This window comes from Homo sapiens, chromosome 16 (assembly GCF_000001405.40).
Source record: "Homo sapiens chromosome 16, GRCh38.p14 Primary Assembly".
NCBI lineage: Eukaryota > Metazoa > Chordata > Mammalia > Primates > Hominidae > Homo > Homo sapiens.
Window position 1 is genome coordinate 2,982,524 of NC_000016.10, and position 19,606 is coordinate 3,002,129.

At 60.2% G+C, this 19,606-nt stretch overlaps 1 protein-coding gene across 22 annotated transcripts, besides 12 other annotated features; it reads left to right on the plus strand.

The window, feature by feature from the left end:
- Positions 287-788: an enhancer, noted in NCBI's record as "H3K4me1 hESC enhancer chr16:3032811-3033312 (GRCh37/hg19 assembly coordinates)". NCBI's record gives its function as "activates a minimal SCP1, AML or CMV promoter by ChIP-STARR-seq in primed H9 embryonic stem cells {active_cell/tissue: H9 hESC(primed)}" and the evidence as "EXISTENCE:reporter gene assay evidence [ECO:0000049][PMID:30033119]".
- Positions 909-958: a silencer, noted in NCBI's record as "silent region_7098". NCBI's record gives its function as "represses an Ori minimal core promoter by ATAC-STARR-seq in GM12878 lymphoblastoid cells {active_cell/tissue: GM12878}" and the evidence as "EXISTENCE:reporter gene assay evidence [ECO:0000049][PMID:35858748]".
- Positions 1,199-1,258: a silencer, noted in NCBI's record as "silent region_7099". NCBI's record gives its function as "represses an Ori minimal core promoter by ATAC-STARR-seq in GM12878 lymphoblastoid cells {active_cell/tissue: GM12878}" and the evidence as "EXISTENCE:reporter gene assay evidence [ECO:0000049][PMID:35858748]".
- Positions 1,199-1,399: a biological region, named in NCBI's record as "ReSE screen-validated silencer GRCh37_chr16:3033737-3033923".
- Positions 1,213-1,399: a silencer, noted in NCBI's record as "fragment chr16:3033737-3033923 (GRCh37/hg19 assembly coordinates)". NCBI's record gives its function as "represses an EF-1alpha promoter that drives an FKBP-Casp9 reporter gene in an ReSE screen in K562 erythroleukemia cells {active_cell/tissue: K562}" and the evidence as "EXISTENCE:reporter gene assay evidence [ECO:0000049][PMID:32094911]".
- Positions 4,931-5,882: an enhancer, noted in NCBI's record as "H3K4me1 hESC enhancer chr16:3037455-3038406 (GRCh37/hg19 assembly coordinates)". NCBI's record gives its function as "activates a minimal SCP1, AML or CMV promoter by ChIP-STARR-seq in naive and primed H9 embryonic stem cells {active_cell/tissue: H9 hESC(naive and primed)}" and the evidence as "EXISTENCE:reporter gene assay evidence [ECO:0000049][PMID:30033119]".
- Positions 5,739-19,488, plus strand: GREP1 (glycine rich extracellular protein 1). Of its 22 annotated transcripts, NM_001396458.1 has the most exons (33): positions 5,739-5,817; positions 6,067-6,099; positions 7,000-7,029; positions 7,451-7,483; positions 7,564-7,599; positions 8,029-8,064; positions 8,525-8,578; positions 8,855-8,914; positions 9,880-9,915; positions 10,282-10,311; positions 10,408-10,440; positions 12,175-12,204; positions 12,283-12,315; positions 12,404-12,439; positions 12,761-12,793; positions 13,096-13,131; positions 13,216-13,248; positions 13,334-13,387; positions 13,973-14,008; positions 14,150-14,182; positions 14,422-14,562; positions 15,280-15,312; positions 15,833-15,865; positions 15,971-16,000; positions 16,325-16,456; positions 17,379-17,420; positions 17,563-17,595; positions 17,769-17,831; positions 17,914-17,943; positions 18,031-18,090; positions 18,191-18,304; positions 18,758-18,811; positions 19,038-19,488. In NM_001396458.1, exons 1-33 carry the CDS (start codon positions 5,754-5,756, stop codon positions 19,061-19,063), a joined length of 1,560 nt encoding a protein of 519 aa, NP_001383387.1. In that variant the 5' UTR covers positions 5,739-5,753; the 3' UTR covers positions 19,064-19,488. The 22 variants fall into 22 exon arrangements, with proteins under 22 accessions (NP_001383387.1, NP_001383386.1, NP_001383385.1 ...); NM_001396457.1 differs by lacking the exons at positions 17,769-17,831; positions 17,914-17,943; positions 18,031-18,090 and adding an exon at positions 12,879-12,914; NM_001396456.1 differs by lacking the exons at positions 13,334-13,387; positions 17,769-17,831; positions 17,914-17,943; positions 18,031-18,090 and having other exon boundaries at positions 14,530-14,562.
- Positions 5,883-6,832: an enhancer, noted in NCBI's record as "H3K4me1 hESC enhancer chr16:3038407-3039356 (GRCh37/hg19 assembly coordinates)". NCBI's record gives its function as "activates a minimal SCP1, AML or CMV promoter by ChIP-STARR-seq in naive H9 embryonic stem cells {active_cell/tissue: H9 hESC(naive)}" and the evidence as "EXISTENCE:reporter gene assay evidence [ECO:0000049][PMID:30033119]".
- Positions 11,197-11,698: an enhancer, noted in NCBI's record as "H3K4me1 hESC enhancer chr16:3043721-3044222 (GRCh37/hg19 assembly coordinates)". NCBI's record gives its function as "activates a minimal SCP1, AML or CMV promoter by ChIP-STARR-seq in primed H9 embryonic stem cells {active_cell/tissue: H9 hESC(primed)}" and the evidence as "EXISTENCE:reporter gene assay evidence [ECO:0000049][PMID:30033119]".
- Positions 13,018-13,990: an enhancer, noted in NCBI's record as "H3K27ac-H3K4me1 hESC enhancer chr16:3045542-3046514 (GRCh37/hg19 assembly coordinates)". NCBI's record gives its function as "activates a minimal SCP1, AML or CMV promoter by ChIP-STARR-seq in naive H9 embryonic stem cells {active_cell/tissue: H9 hESC(naive)}" and the evidence as "EXISTENCE:reporter gene assay evidence [ECO:0000049][PMID:30033119]".
- Positions 15,658-16,158: an enhancer, noted in NCBI's record as "H3K4me1 hESC enhancer chr16:3048182-3048682 (GRCh37/hg19 assembly coordinates)". NCBI's record gives its function as "activates a minimal SCP1, AML or CMV promoter by ChIP-STARR-seq in primed H9 embryonic stem cells {active_cell/tissue: H9 hESC(primed)}" and the evidence as "EXISTENCE:reporter gene assay evidence [ECO:0000049][PMID:30033119]".
- Positions 16,159-16,659: an enhancer, noted in NCBI's record as "H3K4me1 hESC enhancer chr16:3048683-3049183 (GRCh37/hg19 assembly coordinates)". NCBI's record gives its function as "activates a minimal SCP1, AML or CMV promoter by ChIP-STARR-seq in primed H9 embryonic stem cells {active_cell/tissue: H9 hESC(primed)}" and the evidence as "EXISTENCE:reporter gene assay evidence [ECO:0000049][PMID:30033119]".
- Positions 18,957-19,493: an enhancer, noted in NCBI's record as "H3K4me1 hESC enhancer chr16:3051481-3052017 (GRCh37/hg19 assembly coordinates)". NCBI's record gives its function as "activates a minimal SCP1, AML or CMV promoter by ChIP-STARR-seq in naive H9 embryonic stem cells {active_cell/tissue: H9 hESC(naive)}" and the evidence as "EXISTENCE:reporter gene assay evidence [ECO:0000049][PMID:30033119]".

A 19,606-nucleotide genomic window follows, 5' to 3' on the forward strand; every position in this document is an offset into this window, starting at 1 on the left:
GCAACATAGCAAGGCCCTGTCTCAAGAAAGAAAAAAGAAAGAAAAGGAAGGGAAGAAAGGGAAAGAAAAAGAGAAAGAAAGAAAGGAAAGGAAAGGAAGGAAGGAAAGAAAGGGAGAGAAAAAAAGAAAAGAAAGAAGAAATAAAGCAGTGAGGCACAGTGGTACACACCTGTAGTCCCAGCTCCTCAGGAGGCTGGAGTAGGAGGATCACTTGATCCCTGGAGTTAAAGGCCGCAGTGAGGGCCGGGTGCAGTGGCTCATGCTGGTAACCCCAGCAGTTTGGGAGGCTGAGGCAGGTGGATCACTTGAGCTCAGGAGTTCGAGACCAGGCTGGCCAATATGGTGAAACCCCTTCTCTACTAAAAATACAAAAATTAGCTGGGTGTGATGGCAGGCGCTTGTAATCCCAGCTACTCGGGAGGCTGAGGCAGAATTGCTTGAACCTGGGAGGCAGAGGTTGCAGTGAGCCCACATCGCACCACTGCACTCCAACCTGGGTGACAAGAGCGAGACTCTGTCTCAAAAAAAAAAAAAAAAAAAAAGGCTGCAGTGAGCCTGGGCAACAGAGTGAGACCCTGTAAAAAATATAAAGTGATAATAATAGTAGTTCCTCCTTCCTCGGGGAGTATGAGCACCACATGAGAAAATGCCTGTGAAGTGCTTAGCACAGAGCCGAACACACAGTAGGGGCTTACTCATTGTTTCAGAATAACAGGCTGGGCGAGGTGGTCACGCCTGTAATCCCAGCAATTTGGCAGGCTGAGGCGGGCAGGTCACTTGAGCTCAGAAGTTAGAGACCAGCCTGGGCAATATGGCAAAACCCTGTCTCTACAAAACATTCAAAAATTAGCTGGGCATGGTGGTGTGTACCTGTGCTCCCAGCTAGTCAAGAGGGTGAGGTGGGAGGATCGCTTGAGCCCAGGAGGTGGATGCTGCAGTGTGCCGAGATGGCGCCACTGCACTCCAGCCTGGGCGACAGAGCGAGACTCGGTCTCAAATTAATAATAATAATAATAATAATAATAATAATAATAATAATAATAAAATAGTAAGACCCCCTCATCTGTACAGTCTGTTGCAGTTTTCAACGCTGCAGTCTGGGCCAAAAAGAGGCCCCAGGAGGAAAGAAGCCCGGACTCCTCTAACCACCTTGGGGTCACAGGGACCGAGGCACGGGCCCACAGGGTTCCGGACCAAAGCGCTTTGCCGACCTCCTTCCAGGAGGAATCCTCCCAGCCGCCGCCCAGGCACCCGGTTCCCGCGAGTCCCACCCGCGCGACCAGGCGCGGGCCGCGCGCGCCCCCGTGTGTCCCGTCGCCGCCACAGCACCCGCGGCTCCGCCCAGACTCTCCAAGGAAGACTCACTCATGCGGTTTCGGCCACAAAAGGAAAGGCGAGGCCGGGCGCGGTGGCTCACGCCTGTAATCCTAGCACTTTGGGTGGCCGAGACGAGCGGATCACCTGAGGTCAGGAGTTTGAGACCAGCCTGGCTAACATGGTGAAACGCCGATTCTACTAAAAACACAAAAATTAGCCAGGCGTGGTGTCGGGCGCCTGTAATCCCAGTTACACAGGAGGCTGAGGCAGGAGAATCGCTTGAACCCGGGAGGCGGAGGTTGCAGTGAGCCGAGATGGCGCGACTGCACTCCAGCCTGGGCGACAAGAGCAAGACTCCGTCTCAAAAGAAAAAAAGCGAGGGAATGACGACCACAAGTGCAAACGTGGCTATCCTAATGGGAGGAAGGGGACTGTGATGGGTGCTTCTGCGGAACTGGCTATGTTCTACTTCTTGACCCAGGTGCTGGGTGCATAGGGGTTTGTCTCATAAGTACGATAGCTGCACGGCACATTCACATCTCATGTGTGCTAATCTTTGCATGCTATGTTTCACACTTGAATAAGGTTTTTTATTTTATTTATTTATTTATTTATTTATTTTCAGACGGAGCCTTGCTCTGTTGCCAGGCTGGAGTACAGTGGCGCGATCTCGGCTCACTGCAACCTCCACCTCCCGGGTTAAGCGATTCTCCGGCCTCAGCCTCCCGAGTAGCTGGGATTACAGGCGCACACCACTATGCCCAGCTGATTTTTTTATTTTTAGTAGAGACAGAGTTTCACCACGTTGGCCAGGATGGTCTCAATCGCTTGACCTGGTGATCCACCCGCCTCGGCCTCCCAAAGTGCTGGGATTACAGGCGTGAGCCACCGCGCCCAGCCTGTGTTTTGATTATTTTTGAGACAGGGTCTCACTCTGTTGCCCAGGCAATAGTATGATCACGATTCACTGCAGCCTCAACCTCCCAAGCTCAAGTGATTCTCCCACCTCAGCCTCCCAAGTAGCTGGAACCACGGGGGTGCACCACCCAACCCTGGCTAATTTTTAATTTCTTGTAGAGACGGGGGTCTCATTATGTTGCCCAGGCTGGTCTCGAGCTCCTGGGCTCAAACAATCCTCCTGCCTCGGCCTCCTGAAGTACTGGAATTATAGGCATGAGCACTGTGCCTGGCCACACTTGCATAAGGCTTTTATTTTTCTGACACTACACCAAAGGAATTGCATAAGGTTTGGTTTTGTTTTGTTTTGTTTTAAGACGGAGTTTCACTCCTGTTGCCCAGGCTGGAGTGCAGTGGTGCGATCTCGGCTCACCGCAACCTCCACCTCCCGGGTTCAAGCAATTATCCTGCCTCAGCCTCCAGAGTAGCTGGGATTACAGGCATGTGCCACCACGCCCGGCTAATTTTGTATTTTTAGTAGAGACAGGTTTTCTCCATGTGGTCAGGCTGGTCTTGAACTACCGGCCTCAGGTGATCACCCCACCTCGGCCTCCCAACGTGCTGGGATTACAGGCATGAGCCACTGCACCAGGCCTGCATAACGTTTTAACAAACTGGCAGATGGGTGGGGAGAAGGAGTTTGTAGAGGTCACCTTTGCTGGTGTGAGTTGCCTTGGGATGCCTAGGAAGGTATACTGGAGGCTCCGATGCTTGGGTTTGGGCTGAAGAGCTGCCCAAACAGAGTGGCCTGCAGGACGCTCAGCACAGCTGCGAGTGTAGAAGCTGTCCGCCCGGCTGGCGCCTGGCCACCGCTCCAGCTGTCCTCCCCAAATTCCTGCCCTCACGGGTGCCACTGGTGTCAAGCAGCTGGCAGGGAGTCTCTTGCCATTTTAGGCAATGCACTTCCTGGGCCTGGGTCCAGCACTTCCAACACCCCTGCTCTCACCCTGCCCTTGGCCCTCAGCCCTAGCCCCTCATAGCTGCTGCTCTGTTCCGAGGCTGTGCTGTGTCCCCTCAGGCCAGGGTGCCTGGGAGCAAAGGGTAGCCCAGGTCAAGACTCCATCAGGGGCTCTCCCAGCCCACACACAGTCTCTGTGCTGTCAGGCAGGCCCTGCCTGGGTGGGTCTGGGGGTGAGCAGAGAGGACTGGCTGTGCTGGGAGTCGGAGTGGCGGCATTGCAGGGGCTGGGACACCCGACTGGGTCCAGCCTGGTCCTGAGTGGCTGTCAGGCTGGCCCGAGGCCCTGGGCTGGCTGGCATTTTCCAAGGTCATGCCAGCACCAGGCAGCCTGGCAGTGGTAGCGGGCACTGGTGTTCCCTCTGGCAGTGGCCAAGCAGGCGCCCATCCGTTACCTCCCACAGGGCGTCTCCTGGTTTCCCGCCTGCCTCCTCTTGGGCTACGCTTTCCCAGCGCCCTGCAGGGCAAGCCATGTGTCTGTGTAGGAGCTCTCAGCCGGCCCAGGTCTGAAGCAGACACCTCGTCCCATCTGGCATAACTGGGCCTACTGCCCGCCTGTAAGCATGTAAGGTGCTTGAGAGCAGGGACAGCAGACGTGGGGACTGCCAGACTGCTGGGGTTCAGATCTCAGCCCCACTGCTCCAGAGTTGCACAATCTGAGCCAAGTCCCTTCCCCCTGCCTTTGTTTCCCCATCTGCAAACGAGGATAAGCAGCAGTTCCTCCCAGTAGCCCCAACACAGAGTTGCTCTTCTTGTCATTTTAGGGGAGAGTGAACACACTCGGGAAGGCCCCGAACCAGATGGAGTGGGTGTTTGCACCCTGTGTGAATCCAGCACCCAGCTGCTAGCCCCGGGGCTACTCGGCTGCCCTCCGTGAATACACGGGGGACATGCGCCTGCTGCCATGGGCGGGGCAGGTGGCCTGGCAGGAAAGCCCTCTCCAGGAGTCTGAATGGACCGTCCCAGCTACCCTGGGCACTCATAGGATGGATGGGGCCAGGGAGCATCCCTGAGCCCCTGTCAGCAGCCCATGAAGGTCCAGCCTCGGGGACCCCAACTCATGGCTGTCTGCCAGGCAGGACGGTGGGGGGGCGGTTCAGGGCACTGTTCTGAGGCGCTGGGCTGAGGGGGCCTGCCGTGAGCAGACAGTCCTCGTGCACAGGTGGGTCTGTGGTTGGGAGGTGGGCACCGCAGGCATCGTGGTGTGCCTGTGGGTGTGAGCCCTGGGGATGGCTTCATGTGTGGGCAGAGCAGCAGTGGGGCACAGCCTACGATGTGGGTGAGAGGGGAGGCAGAGAGGGAGGGGGCACAGGGACCTCAGTGCTGGGCTGGCCTATGAGTGAGGGTACCTGGTGGTAATTAACCCTGTAGTCTATTGGCGGCTGGACCTGGCCGCAGAGGTGTGGGCTCAGTAGCCTCTCTCGGAGAAGCCCCTGCTGCCCCTTCCTCATTATAGCCCTTCTGCAGACCCCCAGCCTAGCTGGGCTGACTGGCTTGGCAGGCTGGACTCCTTAGCCAGAGGTACCAGGAGGGGCTGGCTGGGCCAGGGACAGGCCAGCAGACAGACAGGGTGTGGGGCCTTCTGGACCAGGGTGCAGGGGCTAGGGGTTGAGTCACTGCCGTCCCCAGCCAGCCTGGTGGGGTCTGCAGGCTCATTGGGGCGTGATGCCTGTTGTCCAGACCCCCATGCCCAGTGCCTCCCTGCCAGGCCCCCAGCACAGGGCCCCGGCTCCAAGTCCATCCACCCAGCCCCAGGCATGGAGAGCTGCTCGCAGCCCCCCACGTCCTCTCCTCAGCCTCTCCTGCGGTCCTGCCCCCCAACACTGTGTGGTGGCTCCCCTAGTCTGTGACCCAAAGTTAGAGTCACTGCTGGGGCAGGAGACGAGGCAGAGCTGGAAGGCCTCCGCGGACTCTCAGAGAGGCTGGGCACAGCTGGCCCGTCCTCCTGTGTCCCTGCCCCTCATGGAAGGAGGAGGGAGGAGGAAGGGGTGGCTCTGAAGTTGGGGGCTCTGGCCCACTCTGGCAGGCTGAGCCTCCATGAGGACAAAGGGCCCCCTGGTGGGGTCTGTGTGGTCTCAGGACTAGACGGGATGACACCTGGCTTTTGTTGGGAACACCACCCGCCTGTCAGACAGGGTCTGAGATGCTGTCACCCCCACCCCTGCTGTCTGCAACACTCCAAAGCCCTGGTTCCCGCCCTCTCCCCAGCTGTGTTTGGGCTGGGCCTAGGGTGCCTGCCTGCCCCTTGCTGGGGGGACATCTGAGCCCTCTGGGCCTGGCGCCAGGGCCTGAGTCGCTGACAGGGGCGGAGAAGTCTAGGGGGCCTGTCCTGCTGTCAGCGCCCATGATGGATGAGGGGCCAGAGCTAGACTCCTGCCACAGGGGGAGGTGGGGGTGACCCCCCAGGGTCTGCAGGCAGAGCCTCTGCCTCTCACAGCTGGGGGGCCTGGGCGAGGGTCCCCACCCAGCCAGGGGTGTTTAAAGGCCCAAAGGGCGTGGGCCCTCCCACTCTGCCTAGAGTCATGGGCGCCTGGGCCTTCCCCGCAGCCCTTTTCCTTCTCTGCCTGACTTCCGAGAGCCTGCAAGGTGGTGAGGGCAGCTTGGGGCTGGGGGTTGGAGAATGGGCATCTGTGACTGGGGCTGGGGGTCCAAGTGGGGCCCTGGCCAGATGCTGGGGTTCTGGAGACAAGGAGGGCTGGGGTGTGGAAAGCCTGGTCTGGGCAGAGAATTCAGACAGTGAGGGTTTTTGGGGGCTGGAGGATAGATGCCTGGGCGCTGCCCCATCTCAGCCTCTGGGGTCCCCAGCCTTGAGTCAGCACTGTCTTGCTTCCGCAGGGCTGCCCCTTCTGCCTCCTGGCCTGGGGAAAGGTAGGTGGGCCCTCTGGCACTGGGGTCAGGAAGAGTCTCCCATCTCTCCTGCCCTGGGGGTGTGGGAGCTCTCTGGGACTCCCGATGCGGGGCCCAGGAGAGCTCAGGGCCCTTGCTGTCTTCCGGGCAGGGAGTCTCATCAAGTGTCCACTCAAGGGTGGGGAGCACAGACACCCTGCACTCTCAGAAGAGTCTCCCGGGGCAGAACATGCAGCCCTGAGGACGGGCCTGGGCAGGCTGAGAAGGGTGGGCAGGTGTGACAGGAGGGGCGGACCCACCGGCAGGCCAAAGGGGGCCGGAGGGGGAGAGGAGGGAGGGGACAAGGAGAACTGAGCCTGCTGAGGGGCAGGAGGTGGAGTGTCATGGAAGAGTCTTTACTTCAGGGACCTGGGGGGTCCTAAGGGTAGAAGGAGGGGCTGCCCCTGAGCCCTGATGCATCTGAGCTTCAGGAGAGAAAGATGGGGGGCAGAGGTGGTGAGAAGAAGAGGAGGAGATTTCCATGAAGGGAGAGGAGCCCAGTACTGAGAATGGATGGGAGAGGAGAGGAAGAGGGTGGAGTGGGCTCTGCCCCACAGTCCCCCAGAGCCCTGGCTCAGACACCTTCCTCCAGGCCCAGGGGCCCTCTAGCCTCCACTGCCCTAGCCCCAGACTGCTCACCTCCTCTGCCCTCTACCCTCCTGTGACAGCAGGGAAACTGAGACCTGGAAAGGGAGGTGGCATCCAGATTTGGGCCCCTTTGTCCCCTTGTAAGTTCCCCTGCTTCCCCCTGAACCCCACAGGCTTAGGGAGCCCAAATGGCTACAGATCTGGTAAAGCTGGTGGCGGGGTGCTTGGGGAGGGTGGCACACCGGCTCCCAGCTGCTCCAGCACCCCGGGCTCAACATCTCACTTCTCCCACAGTCTATGGCCCCCACAGTGGCCTGGGAGCAGGTGAGGCCTGGCATAGGGAAGGGAGGCGTCTGAGGGCAGGGCACGGGGCAGGGGGGAGGCAGGACAGGAACAGGGAAAGCTGGGCGGGGGGCAGGTAAAGGGGGAAGCAGTCGTCTCAGAAATACATGGGGACAGAGCATAGCCCCAGAGTGTCCCCCAGGCACCCTGGCTGGGGAGAGGGGAAGGCAGGCAGGAAGAAATGGAGCGGGGAGGGAAGAAAGGAAAGAGAGCAGAAAGGAAGGAGAGAGGGAAGGAGGGAGGGAAGGAGGCTGATAGCACCCACCTGTGCCCCACAGCCCTCCCCCATCATGGGAAGGGACTGAGTTCCCACAGGCCCACTGCTTGGATAGGCTGTGGGCCAGGTGTGGGGCTCTGGGGAGATCCTGGGGGAGGGGTGTCCCTCACCTCCCTGTCTCTCCAGGCTATGATGGGGGCGTGAAGCCACAGAAGCCAGGTGAGCCCTGCCCCGGCCCCAGCTCTTTGTCTCCCCCTCTTTCTCTCACACTCCTCACCTCACCTCATCTGTCTCTCCAGGATTCGTGGTCAGGCATGGGCTGGGAACCCAGCCAGGTGAGAGCCGTGGGGTCCCCTCCTTCCCTCCCTCCCAGGCCTCAGACGGAAGAGGCAGGATTGGAGAGATTGTTGGGGGGAGGCGCAGAGAGCCTCTCAGGTTTGCTGGTGTCTGGCTTAGTCCAAGGGGGGGTTCAAGGGTCTTGTACCCCCACCTCAGCTGGGACCCCAAACCTCCTCAGCTCACCTCTCTCTCTCCCACGAGCCCTTCCACTAAGAATGGCTATGGAGCAGGTAGAGATGGGAGTGGGGGAGCTGGAAGCCAGGATTCTAGGGGTATCCCTGGGATGGGGATTCCTGAGCCCCTCATCTGATCCCCCTCTCTTTCCCAGACACTGAAGGGGGCATGAAACCCCAAAACCTAGGTGAGGCTCGCCCAGCCCCTGCCTGCCTCCCTCCTCCTGACTCCCTCCTGCCTTCTCGCCCCAGGGTTCAGGACCTTCGCAGGTGCTGCAGCCCAGCCAGGTGAGGCTGGGGGAAGCGGGTAAGGAATGGGAGGGGCTTGGGGGTGCCTAATCTTTGCCTGATACTGTGGGGGAGGGAATGCAGCCAGATCGGTGTTTCCAGGGTCTTCTCCAGGCTCCCAGGCCTCAGAGAGGGCAGAACAGGTGGGTGTCTCACGGGAAGTGGGCAGGAGGGGACGGTGAGGAGTTCTGATGTCTGGCTTGGTAAGGGGACAGGGGCACCTGGGCCTCACCCCTGCCTCAGCTCGGTGTGGCTGTGGAGCAGGGAGCCCAGGGCGGGGAGGTGGGGCCCCTTCATCTGCCCATCTCTCTTCCCAGGCTTTGGAGGGGCTGAGAAGCCCCAGAAGCCAGAGGCGAGGCCGCCCCACACCTGTCCCAGTGTCCACTTCCCACCCTCTGTCTCTGTCTCTGCTTGACGCCCCATTCCCCCTCCTCATGTCCCTCTGGCTCTGTCTCCCCAGGATATGGAAACGGGCTGGGAGCAGCGGCCTTCCCAGTGGCCGGAGCCCAGTCAGGTGAGGAAACGTCGGGTGTGGCAGGACCTGGGCTTCCAGGAGGGAGGGGGAAGGGGCAGAGCAGAGTCAGGGCACCAGGAGCTGGGAGAGCTGGGCTCTGGAGGGAGGGCAGGGCTCAGCCACTCTGTCCCTTCCCAGGCCTGGGAGTGGGCGTGAAACCTCCGAAGCCAGGTGAGGCAGAGCCCTGCCCCGCCTTGCCCACTTATATCCAGGCGCCTCTGGGTCCCTCAAGCCTGCCCACCCCACCGCTCATGGCCCTCACCAATGTCTCCCCAGGATTGGGGAGCAGAAGTGGTTTGGGCGCTGGCACTCTTCCAGGGGCAGGAACCCCACCAGGTGAGGGTGGCTGGGCAGGGGCCGCAGGGAGGGGCGGGCAGGAGGGTTTAGGGTCCCAACCCTCATTCTTAGGGGAGGAGCTCTTAGGGTCAATGTCAGCCTCTTTCTAGCTCTCCCCAGGCCTGGGGAAGAGGGAACCTCAGAAGCGGATGAAGGGAGGACCCCGCCCGTGTGCCACCTCCATGCCACACTCACCATGTCCTGTCCCTCTCTGTCCCCCTCTCGGTCTGTGTTACCCTCCCCAGGCACTCGTCCCTCTGTGGCCTGCCAATGCCATTCCTGTGGGTGGGGACTCCTGTGGAGGCCTCTGAGCTGCTTCCTGGGCATGCGCCCTTAGTGAACTGTCAGGGTGTGGAGCACAGTGGCCCTGGGTGGTGTTTGGACCACGGACCCGCACTCCACATGGCCTAGGTCCAGCCTCTGCCTCCCTCACCCCACAGGCCCAAAACCAGGTCAGGGAGGGTAGGGTGTTGCGGAGGGCCTGGGCTTGGGTCTGGGGGCTCCAGGGAGCTGCAGCCTCCTTTACCTGGTCTCTCTCTCTATTCCTGGCATGGGGCGGGGGGTGAAACCTCTGAAGACAGGTGTGCCTGCCCTTTCCTGTGTCCCTGTCCTCCACTCCCCACATACACACATCCGGCCCTGCCTCTGCTTCCTCCTTCTACTCGGTCTCCCAAGATCTGGTGATGGGAATGGGATGGGAGCTGGGGCCTTCCTAGGAGCTGGAGCCCAGCCAGGTGAGGGCAGCTGGACCACACTGGGATTCTAGAAGACACAGGGAAGAACCAGGGGATATCAGAGGTCCAGAAGGCAGAAAGTTTATTTCTGGGGGAGGACAGGGGATGGGTGGGGTCCGTGAGCCCCTGCTCTCCTCTCCCCTATCTTGACTGTTTCCCCTGCATCTATGGCCTTGTCCCACCCTCAAGCCCTCCCCAGATCCACCCCTCACACACTGCTTCTCCTCCCAGGATACAACAATGGAAACGGACCGGGAACCCAGCCAGGTCGGGGCCGAAGGGGCTGGGGTGGCTGGGGGAGAGGTCAGGGGCCCAGGGCCACACTCTGGGTCCCAACAGATGGGCTCTTGGGGGTTCATTCATTCACCCAATCTCCCCTGAGCACCCGTCCCAAGCCAGGCCTCGGCTGGCCATGGAGGACACCCAAGCTGGTCAAGGGTGGCCACGGTCTGGACTCCCGGGCCAAGAACCAAATCCAACTTTGACTGCAGTCAGGCCTGGGAGGGAGTTCACACAAGACAGAAAGGCAGAGGGCAGGGGTCACGCGAGACAGAAAGGGAGAGGGCAGGGCTCCAGGCCCCAGCTCATCCCCACTGCACCACCTTCCACACTCCTGTGTCTGCCCTCAAACAGGTCCTGCCGCTCAAAATGGCTTTGGACCAGGTAAAGAGGGTGGGGACGGAAGCGGGGAGCCTGGGGCTGAGATTCTGGGCACAGGCCCAGAGGAAAGGATCCCTCACCCTCTCATCTTCCCCCCAGGCTTTGGAGGGGGTGGAAAACCCCAGAAGCCAGGTGAGCCACTCCCTGTCCCTGTCTCCCTGCCCATTTCCTATGCATCTGCCGCTGCTTCCCTAGAGTCCCTGATCTCCCCATTCTCTTTGGCTCTGTCCCCTGGGATTTGGGAATAGGAATGGGTGGGGAGTCGGGGCCTTCCTGGGAGCTGGAACCCAGGCAGGTAAGGCCCTGGAGTTCTGGGAGCATGGAGGTCTTAGGGGTTGGGGGTTACTGATGTAGGGGCCTGGCCCTGGTCCTGAGCAGAGAGGAAGGGATGGGTGGACTCACAGGAAGTCCTTCCCCTTCTCTTCCCAGGCCTGGGAGGGGGACTAAAGGCTCAGAGAGCAGGCGAGCCCCAATCTCTAGCCTCCCAACTTGGTCTCACACAACAAACCTCATTCGACAAACCAATCCAGGCCTGGAGCAGTGGCTAACACCTGTAATCCCAACAGTTCGGGAGGCAGAGTTAGGTGGATCAATTGAGCCCAGGAGTTCAAGACCAGCCTGGGCAACATTCCCAAGCTGGTCTTGAAATCTTGGGCTCAAGCAATCCATCTACAAAAAAAAAAAACCTAGCCAGTTGTGGTGGCACGTGCCTGTAGTCCCAGCTACTCTGGAGGCTGAGAGGTGAGGATCACTTGAGCCCAGGAAGTCGAGGTAGTAGTGAGTGGAGATCTTGCCACTGTACTCCAGCCTGGGTGACAGAGAGAGATCCTGTTTAAAAAACAGACAGGCCGGGCTCAGTGGCTCACGCCTGTAATCCCAGCACTTTGGGAGGCTGAGGCGGGTGGATCACAAGGTCAGGAGATCAAGACCATCCCGGCTAACACAGTGAAACGCCGTCTCTACTGAAAATACAAAAAAATCAGTCGGGCGTGGTAGTGGGCACCTGTAATCCCAGCTACTCGGGAGGCTGAGGCAGGAGACTGGCGTGAACCCAGGAGGCGGAGCTTGCAGTGAGCCGATCGTGCCACTGCACTCCAGCCTGGGTGACAAAGCAAGACTCCGTCTCAAAAACAAACAAACAAACAAACAACAACCAAAGTAATCCGTGGACCATGCCTGTTCTGAGCCAACCAGGTGCTGGGGACAGGCCCTCCCCAACCAGGGCCACGCTGGGGCATACAGTATGGGCTGAGGCTGCCCCAGAGCTGGGCTCTGGGAGTTCTTAGGAGGCAGTGGAGGCCAGGGAGGAGAGAGTGGCCCAACCCTCTGAGAAACTGAACCAAAAGGAGAGTTTTGAACAAAGAAGGTACAGGCTCCAGCAAGATCTCAGACCTGGCCAGGCGCAGTGGCTCACGCCTGTAATCCCAGCACTTTGGGAGGCCTAGGCGGGCGGATCACTTGAGGTCAGGAGTTCAAAACCAGCCTGGCCAACATGGTGAAACTCCGTCTCTACTAAAAATGCTAAAAATTAGCCAGGCGTGGTGGCGGGCACCTGTAATCCCAGCTCCTCAGGAGACTGAGGCAGGAGAATTGCTTGAACCCGGGAGGCGGAGGTTGCAGTGAACCAAGATCACGCCATTGCTCTCCAGCCTGGGCAACAAGAGCGAGACTCCATCTCAAGAAAATAAAAAAAAGAGCTCAGACCCAAGATGTGGCAGGAGCTGGAGCTTGACAGTTGGAGGCTGCTGAGGAAAGGAACCTGCCTTTCTGGCTCGTTGAAGTTGGGGGTGGGGACACCCCTGCCCGAGGTGGCTGGAGATGGCATCCAGGGCTCCGGAGGGCCTTAACCCTTTCTCTCCTCCACAGGCCCCACCACTCAAAATGGCTATAGACCAGGTAGGGGCGGGGCTGGGGTTTGGGGAGGCCCAGAGCTGGGGCCCCAGGTTCCTCACCTGCTCCCTGTCTCTCCACCAGGCTATGTGGGGGCCGTCAAACCCCAGAAGCCAGGTGAGCCCTGCCCCGGCCTGTCCCTCTGCCTCCCCAAAACCTGAGCTCCCTCCCCTCATTCATACCCCGCCTTGATCTATTCCCCCAGGATTCCAGTACAGAATTGGGCTGGGAGCCCAGCCAGGTGAAGGGGGTACAGTCTGGGGTTCCAGGGTCTGCATCTGGGCGGCCTCTTCCTCCCAGGGGCGGGATTGGTGAATGATGGAGAGGGGTGACGGGGCGTCTCCAAGATCCTTGGCTTCTGGCTTGGCCCTGAAGGGGAACCATAGGCGCTGTGTCCCCAGCTTAGCTCAGCCCTCCCACCCCGACAAGCCCCCCACCTCAGAATGGCCCTGGAGCAGGTCCTGAGGGGGATGGGAGGAGCTGGGGTCCAGATGCTGGGGTTCTGGGGTGGATCTGAGTTGGGGGCTCCTAGGTACCTCATCTGCTCCCCATTTTCCCAAAGGCTTTAGAGGGGACATGAAGGCACAGGAGCCAGGTAAGCCTGGCTCTCCCGGGCTTCTGTCTCCCCAGTGTTCAGAGCCCCCTTCCCCCTCTCACCCCCACCTCCATCTGTCCCCCAGGATTAGGGAATGGGAATGGGCTGAGTGCTCAGCCAGGTGAGACAGATGGGGTCTGGGGTTCTACCCCTGGGGCGTCCTCTCCCTGCCTCCCTTCCCAGTCTCATGGGGGGCTGAGCTGGTGAATAACTGAAGGGCTGCTGGGAGGAAGCCTCCAGGATTCCCTTACCTCCACCTCAACCAAACCCCAAATCCCCACCCCACCCTCCTCTCCCCATAGTCTTGACAGCCCAGAACCGATTTGGATTTGGAGCAGGTAGGAGCAGGGGTGGGGAGGGGCTGGGGGAGAATGTGGGTGGGGCCCCTGAGTCACTCACCAGCCCCCCTATATCTCCTCCAGGCCTTGGAGGGAATGTGAAGCCTCTGAAGCCAGGTGAGCCCCGCCCGCCCTGGTCTGCCTCTCTATGCACGAACCCCTGAAGCCATAAGCACTCTACTCATGCTCCCTCCCTCTCCAGGATATGGGAAAAGGCTGAGAGCAGGGGCCTTCCCTGGGGCTGGAACCCAGCCAGGTGAGGACACCTGGGGTAGGAGCCCAGGCTTTTTTTTTTTGAGATGGAGTCTTGCTCTGTCGCCCAGGCTGGAGTGCAGTGGCGCAATCTCGGTTCACTGCAACCTCCACCTCCTGGGTTCAAACAATTCTCCTACCTCTGCCTCCCAAGTAGCTGGGATTACAGACACCCACCACCGCACCTGGCTAATTTTTGTATTTTTGGTAGAGACAGGATTTCACCATGTTGCTCAGGCTGGTCTCGAACTCCTGACCTCAGATGATCCACCTGCCTTGGCTTCCCAAAGTGCTGGGATGACAGGCGTGAGCCACCGCACCGGGCTGAGCCCAGGCTTCTTAGAGGGAAGGGGGAAGACAAAGATCGGGCCAGGGGGCCGGGAGGGCAGAGTGTGGGTCTGAATCCTGGGGAATTAAGTGCCACTGGCTGGCCGGATGTGGCTCTGCCTCTGTGTCTCTCTGTAGGCCTGGGAGGGGGAGCCAGGCCCCCTCCCAGGGCCCTGGGCCCCCGCCCTGTCTCTAGGGCTGCGTCCTCCTGACACCCCCTCCGAATGCCGCCGTCTCACACCCTCCCCGTCCCTCCCCCTAGAATATGGCCATGGAAATGGACCGGGAGTCCAGCCAGGTGAGGGCAGCTGGGCCTGGCTCGCGAGGGGTCGGGAGGTGGGACGGGAAGAGAGAAGCTGAGGCCACAGGGACAGAGAGCTGGGGTCTGGGGATCAGCAGCACTGGCTGGAGTTGATGTCAGCCTCTCTGTCTCTCCCAGGCCTAGGAGCGGGGATGAAGCCTCAGATGCCAGGTGAGGGGACTGCCTGTGTCTGTGGCCCCACCTCCCCTAGATCCTGGTGTTCTAGCTGGGTCTGCGTGGGACTCCCAGGGGAGGGGTGACCCCTGCCTCATGAGTGAGGGGAGGTCTGTAGGAGCACCGAGGACCGAGGGGAGAGGAGGTTGGGGAGAGACTGAGAGCCCCCTTCCTGGCCCCTGCCTCCCTGTCCCCCAGTGGCTCAGCCTTACCACGTTCCCTTTTTTGCCCCACAGGCCTGGGAGCTCCAAACGGCTATGGACCAGGAAGGGGCAGGGCTGGGGTTCCAGGAGGTCCAGAGCGGAGGCCTTGGGTCCCTCACTTGCTCCCTTTCTCTTCACCAGGCTATTTGGGGGTTATGAAGGCCCAGAAGCCAGGTGAGCCCTGCCCCGCCTGTCCCTCTGCCTCCCCCAAACCCTGAGCTCCCTCCCTCATTCATACCCCACCTCAGCTCCATCGGCATTCAGGAGGGGGCTGGGAGCCGAGCCAGTGAGGGGGTGTCGGGCTGATGTCCCTGTCTCCCTCCCAGGCCTCCAGAGCAGGTGGACACCAAAATGAGGGAGGAGAGGTGGCGCCAGGATCCCTGGTTTCTGACTTGGCTCTGAAAGGGGATCCAAAGGCCCTTCGCCCTCTCCTTAGCTAGAATCCCAAACCCCCTGCTCACCCCTCCCTCCCCACAGGCCCCTTAGCCCAGAATGGCTACAGAGCAGGTACTGGGGGGCTGGAGTTGCTGGGAGTGCAGAAAGGAGGAAAGAGGTGGGGGCCTGGCTCTCCCCTGACCCTGTACTGAGGGTTTTCTTGGGGGCTCCTGCAGCCTTAGACGGGGTAGAGTCTGGAGAGGAGGCGGCACAAGGGGGAGGGAGGTGCTGGGAGCTCCAGTTCCTAAATTGGGAGGAAAGGGGGGCCAGGCTCCAGCCCCCTTCTGTACCCCAACCTCTCCCCATGCCGCCCCCACAGACCCTGCAGTTCCCACTGGTCATGGACCAGGAAGGGGAGGTTGGCATGGGCACCAGGTGGGGGACAGATGCCAGGTCTGGAAGAGACCCCTCAGTGAGGAGTGGGCATGGGTCCCTCACCTACTCGCATCTCTCCAGGTGCTGGAGAGGGCATGAAACCTCAGAAGCCAGGTAAGCCCTTCCCACTCCTCACTCTCCCTACCTGCAGAAACTGCCTACCCCTCCACCCTTTTCCCCTCCCAAGCTGTACCCTGTCTCCCCATGGTGCAAGAACGGGCTGGAGCTGGAGCCTTCCTGTGGGAAGGAGCCCAGCCAGGTGAGGGAGGTGGGTGGGACCTGGAGCAGAGGGGAAGGAGGACAGGCTCCAACGGACAGAGTTGGGTCTCAGTGGGGGAAGGGGTGGGGTGGGGTGGGCCTGTCCATTATTCTCCATGGGTCTCTGGCCTGGGAGAGAGCCAGAAACCTCCAAAGCCGAGTTGCTCTCTGCCCCTCTTCCTGCCTTCTCCAAGGTCCCCCACTCCAACCCCGCCCTCATGCCCTGCTCTCCCTCCCAGGATACACACCAGGGACCTGGCTGGGGCTCCTGCCAGGTGAAAAGACGGGGCTAGGGGGATCAGCAGGGGAGAGAGGGGTTCACTACACTCCTCGGGTGGGCTGATGTCTGAACTGGCCTCTTTCTGTCTCTCCCCAGGCCTGCGAGGGACCTTGAAGCCTCAGAAGTCAGGTGAGTGGGGGACCCCTGGCTCTGCCCCACACCTCCTTCTGCCTCTCAGCCCTTCTAGCCTCTGCCCCCAGTGTTGCCACACTCATCTCTGCTTTCCCTCTCCAGGACACGGCCATGAAAATGGGCCCTGGCCAGGTGAGGCCACTGGGACCAGGGGTGGGGGCCCAGGAGGAAGGGAGAGGGAGGCTGCTGGAAGACGGAGGGGCCTCCATCAGGAGCCCCATCCCTGCCAGATCCCTACATCCCTCTATCCCCTGCCTGGATCCCCAGGTCCCCCCAGGAGAGTGTGGACCAAGGGAGCTGGGCTTTTTCCAGCCTGGCTAATGTCCCCCTAAGGTGCTGGGTCTGCCCTAGAAGCCACTACAGGCCGGTGGCTTGGCCAGGCCAAGGCCTCCTGGGTGGCGTCGGTGAGGACTGGCCTGGAGCATAGCCCCACCCCTCCCTTCCTTCCCATCGTAGGTCCCTGCAATGCGAGGGTCGCTCCGATGCTCCTCCCCAGGCTTCCCACTCCAGGGGTCCCTTCGGACAAAGAGGGTGGCTGGGGCCTGAAATCCCAGCCCCCTTCCGCAGTGCAGAATGGCAAGTTACCAGGTCAGTGTGGAGTGGGGGTGCCTAGGGGGCACTGGGAAGCACCTGGCCCTATGAGGGTCAGGGCCTGGCTGCCATATCCCACTCTGTCCTCGGATGCCAAGGCTCAGAGAGGGCAGTGACTTGTCACACAGTGATCTGCTGAGGAGAAGCCTGAACTCTGGCCCTGGGACCCCATGTGGTCCCCAGTATGGGAGTCCTTTCCATCCCTGCCCCATGGCATCTGCAGTCTCTCAAGCCCTCGGCTGGGCTCACTCCTGCCCCTAACCTTCCTCCTAGCACCAATGCCAGCCATCCAGTGGGGACTGAAACCTCAGAAAGCAGGTGTGAGTCTGTCTGCCCCCAGGCCCCACATCCCAGAGGGACAAACTCTCAGCTAGGTCTATCCTCTGTCTCCACCCCAGATCAGGGTCACCCCTCCATCACCCTTTTTCCCTAGGCTGCCTAAGCTATTCAGGCACCCGAAGGCCAGGAAGTCCCTCCCCGAGTCTACCCTCTTGCTCTTTTTTTTTTTTTTTTTTTTTTTTTGAGACAGTCTCGCTCTGTCGCCCAGGCTGGAATGCAGTGGTGCAATTTTGGCTCACTGCAAAATACGCCTCCCAAGTAGTTGGCATTACAGGCACGCACCACCATACCTGGCTAATCTTTGTATTTTTGTAGAGTCGGGGTTTTGTCACATTGGACAGGCTGGTCTCAAACTCCTGGCTTCAAGTGATCAGCCCACCTCAGCCTCCCAAAGTGCTGGGATTACAGGCGTGAGCCACTGCGCCCAGTCTCTTGCTGCTCTCCAGATTTCTTCTGGTTCCATTCCCTGTGGACAGGAAAAGTCTCTGCTTCCCCTTCAGAGTCCCTAAGGTCGATCTTTGGCCTCCAAGGAGTCAGGGGAGACCTGGGTCCCCCGCACTGACTTCCTTTCTCCTCACAGGGCACCAGCCTCCAAATGGCTATGGACCGGGAGCAGAACCAGGTGAGGAGGCCCTTCCTGGAGTTCCTCCCCTCCCTTCCCTTCCTCTTCCCTCCTCTTCCTTCTGCCATCCCAGGAAGAGGGGAGGCCAGGGCTGTGGCTCTCGCTGACCCCCATCTCTGAGTCACAGTTTTCTCTCCCCCAGGTTTTAATGGTGGCCTCGAGCCACAGAAAATTGGTGAGTCCTCCTGGGCCCCCGACCCATGTTGAGCGGAAGCTGGCATCTCCCTCATGCCTGAGTCAGTCTGTCTGTCCGCATCCCCCTGTCTATGAGCTGGTCACCTGGCCCTCCTGATGCTGTCCCTGTTCCACTAGCCTGTCCCTAGCTCCTCTCCAATCTCTGTCCTGCAGGTTTAGGTTATGGGAATGGTGTCCTGGGAGCCAGGGTCTTCCCCGAGGCCCACCCACAGCCAGGTGCCTGGGGAGCAGGGGTCGGGGTGGGAGAGTTGGGCTCAGGGCCCCAGCCCAGCCTCTGACACCCTCTTTCCTCCTCCAGGGTTCCATGGGGCCAATGGTTTTAGGAATAGTGAGTCAGACCCAGGGGACAAAGTGCAGTGGAGTGGGGGAGACAACAGCCCAGGGGCTAGGCGGGAATGACCAGAGTCTCTTGGAGGGGATGGGGTGGAAGCTCTGGTGTACCCCAAAGCAGCAGCTCTAGCCCCTGAAGGAAATGGTAAGAAATGAGCCTTCTGGGAGCAGAGCCAAGCCCAACAGGGGCCAGGGGTCCCAGCTCCTGTGGGCAAGGGTACCCCTGCCAGCTCTCCTCCCCACAGGGCAGGCCGGGGTGCTGTGGAACTCTCGCTGGCCCACCCTCCAGGCCTGGGGGGCCGGCTTGAAGCCTGGATATCAGGCTGGAGATGAATATGCTGAGGCCAGGAGCCAGCCAGGTAACGGGATGCCTGGATGAGTGTGTTGGGGCCATTAGAGGTGGCTTCAGGGAACTGGGCCCTGGGCCCAGGTCTACCCACAGCCCCACAGAGATAGAAGGTACAGCCCTCTTGGCGGAGGGGATGGAGTGAGTGAGAAGAGGCCAGGAGGGCATAGGCAGGAAGGAGCAGGAAGGAATGGAGCTGGAGGAGAGGCCAGAAGAGCCCGGGACCCTGAGAGCCAGCCCAGACACTGGACCAAGAAGGGGAGGTGATGGAGTTGGGAACGAGGGCCATCACGGACTCAGTTCTCCATACTCTGTCCCTCTCCCCCCGGTCCTCTGAGAAACTGAGGCAGAGCTGAGCCCTGGGCCCTCCGGGGAGGGGGTGTCTCCCACAGCCTGGGTTGAAGCTGGGGTGGACGGAAGCTCTCTGGTGACCCGAGTGCTCCTGGTCTGTCTGTCTGTGCCACAGGGGGCCCCGACGTGAAGAGAGGCAGCAATGGCCAGCTGGGGAATGGCTACGGAGGTGAGAGGGAGGCGCAATGGCCGAGCCGCCTGCCCAAAGGCCCCCCGTGGTCACCCCTCCAGCCATACTGGGGGACACCCAGCCCTTGGGAAGGATAGCAGGTTCTGCCACCTGTAGGTGGCTGCTGAGTGACTGACCCCAGAAGCTCAGGTCCCTGGGAGGGGAGGAGGGGGCAAGGCCTCACCAGGGCCCCGCCCCTCCCTAGCCCAGCTCTATGTCTTCCCAGGCCGCTGCCCTCTGGGGAAATGCTGAGCACTGCAATGCCCCTCGCCTGCCCAGCAAGGAAGACAGACCCTTGGGCTTGGCCTCTGGTGCTGCCTGGCCGGGGGTCTCCTCCATGCTAGAACCACAAACGTGCTTCCCTGCTTGCCTCCGCGTGCCATGCAAGGGGCTTGCTGACCAGGGTGGGAGTGGCATGGGCCTGCAGCCACCACCCAGCACCTCATTCATTCATTTGGCAAACATCAATGAGGCCATGTGCCAGGGACCATGTTCCCAACAGGAGAAATCATGAGAAGAAAACAGACTCGATCAACGCCTGCCCTCAGGGAGGGCATCACTTGGTGACCGCCTAGCGGGGGAACCACATCCAAGTTAGGGGCCTTGTGCATGGAAAAGAACACTTCATTCTTTGTGTTTTCATTTATAATCGATTTATTAAAGTTGTTAGATAAAAATCTCATTTTCCTTAAGCTTTTATAGTGGCCTTCCAGATATTGTATTGACTAATAATTTGGATGTAAAACTCACTTTCACAATCTTTGATGAATGCTTAATTAGTTTATAAATTTCACA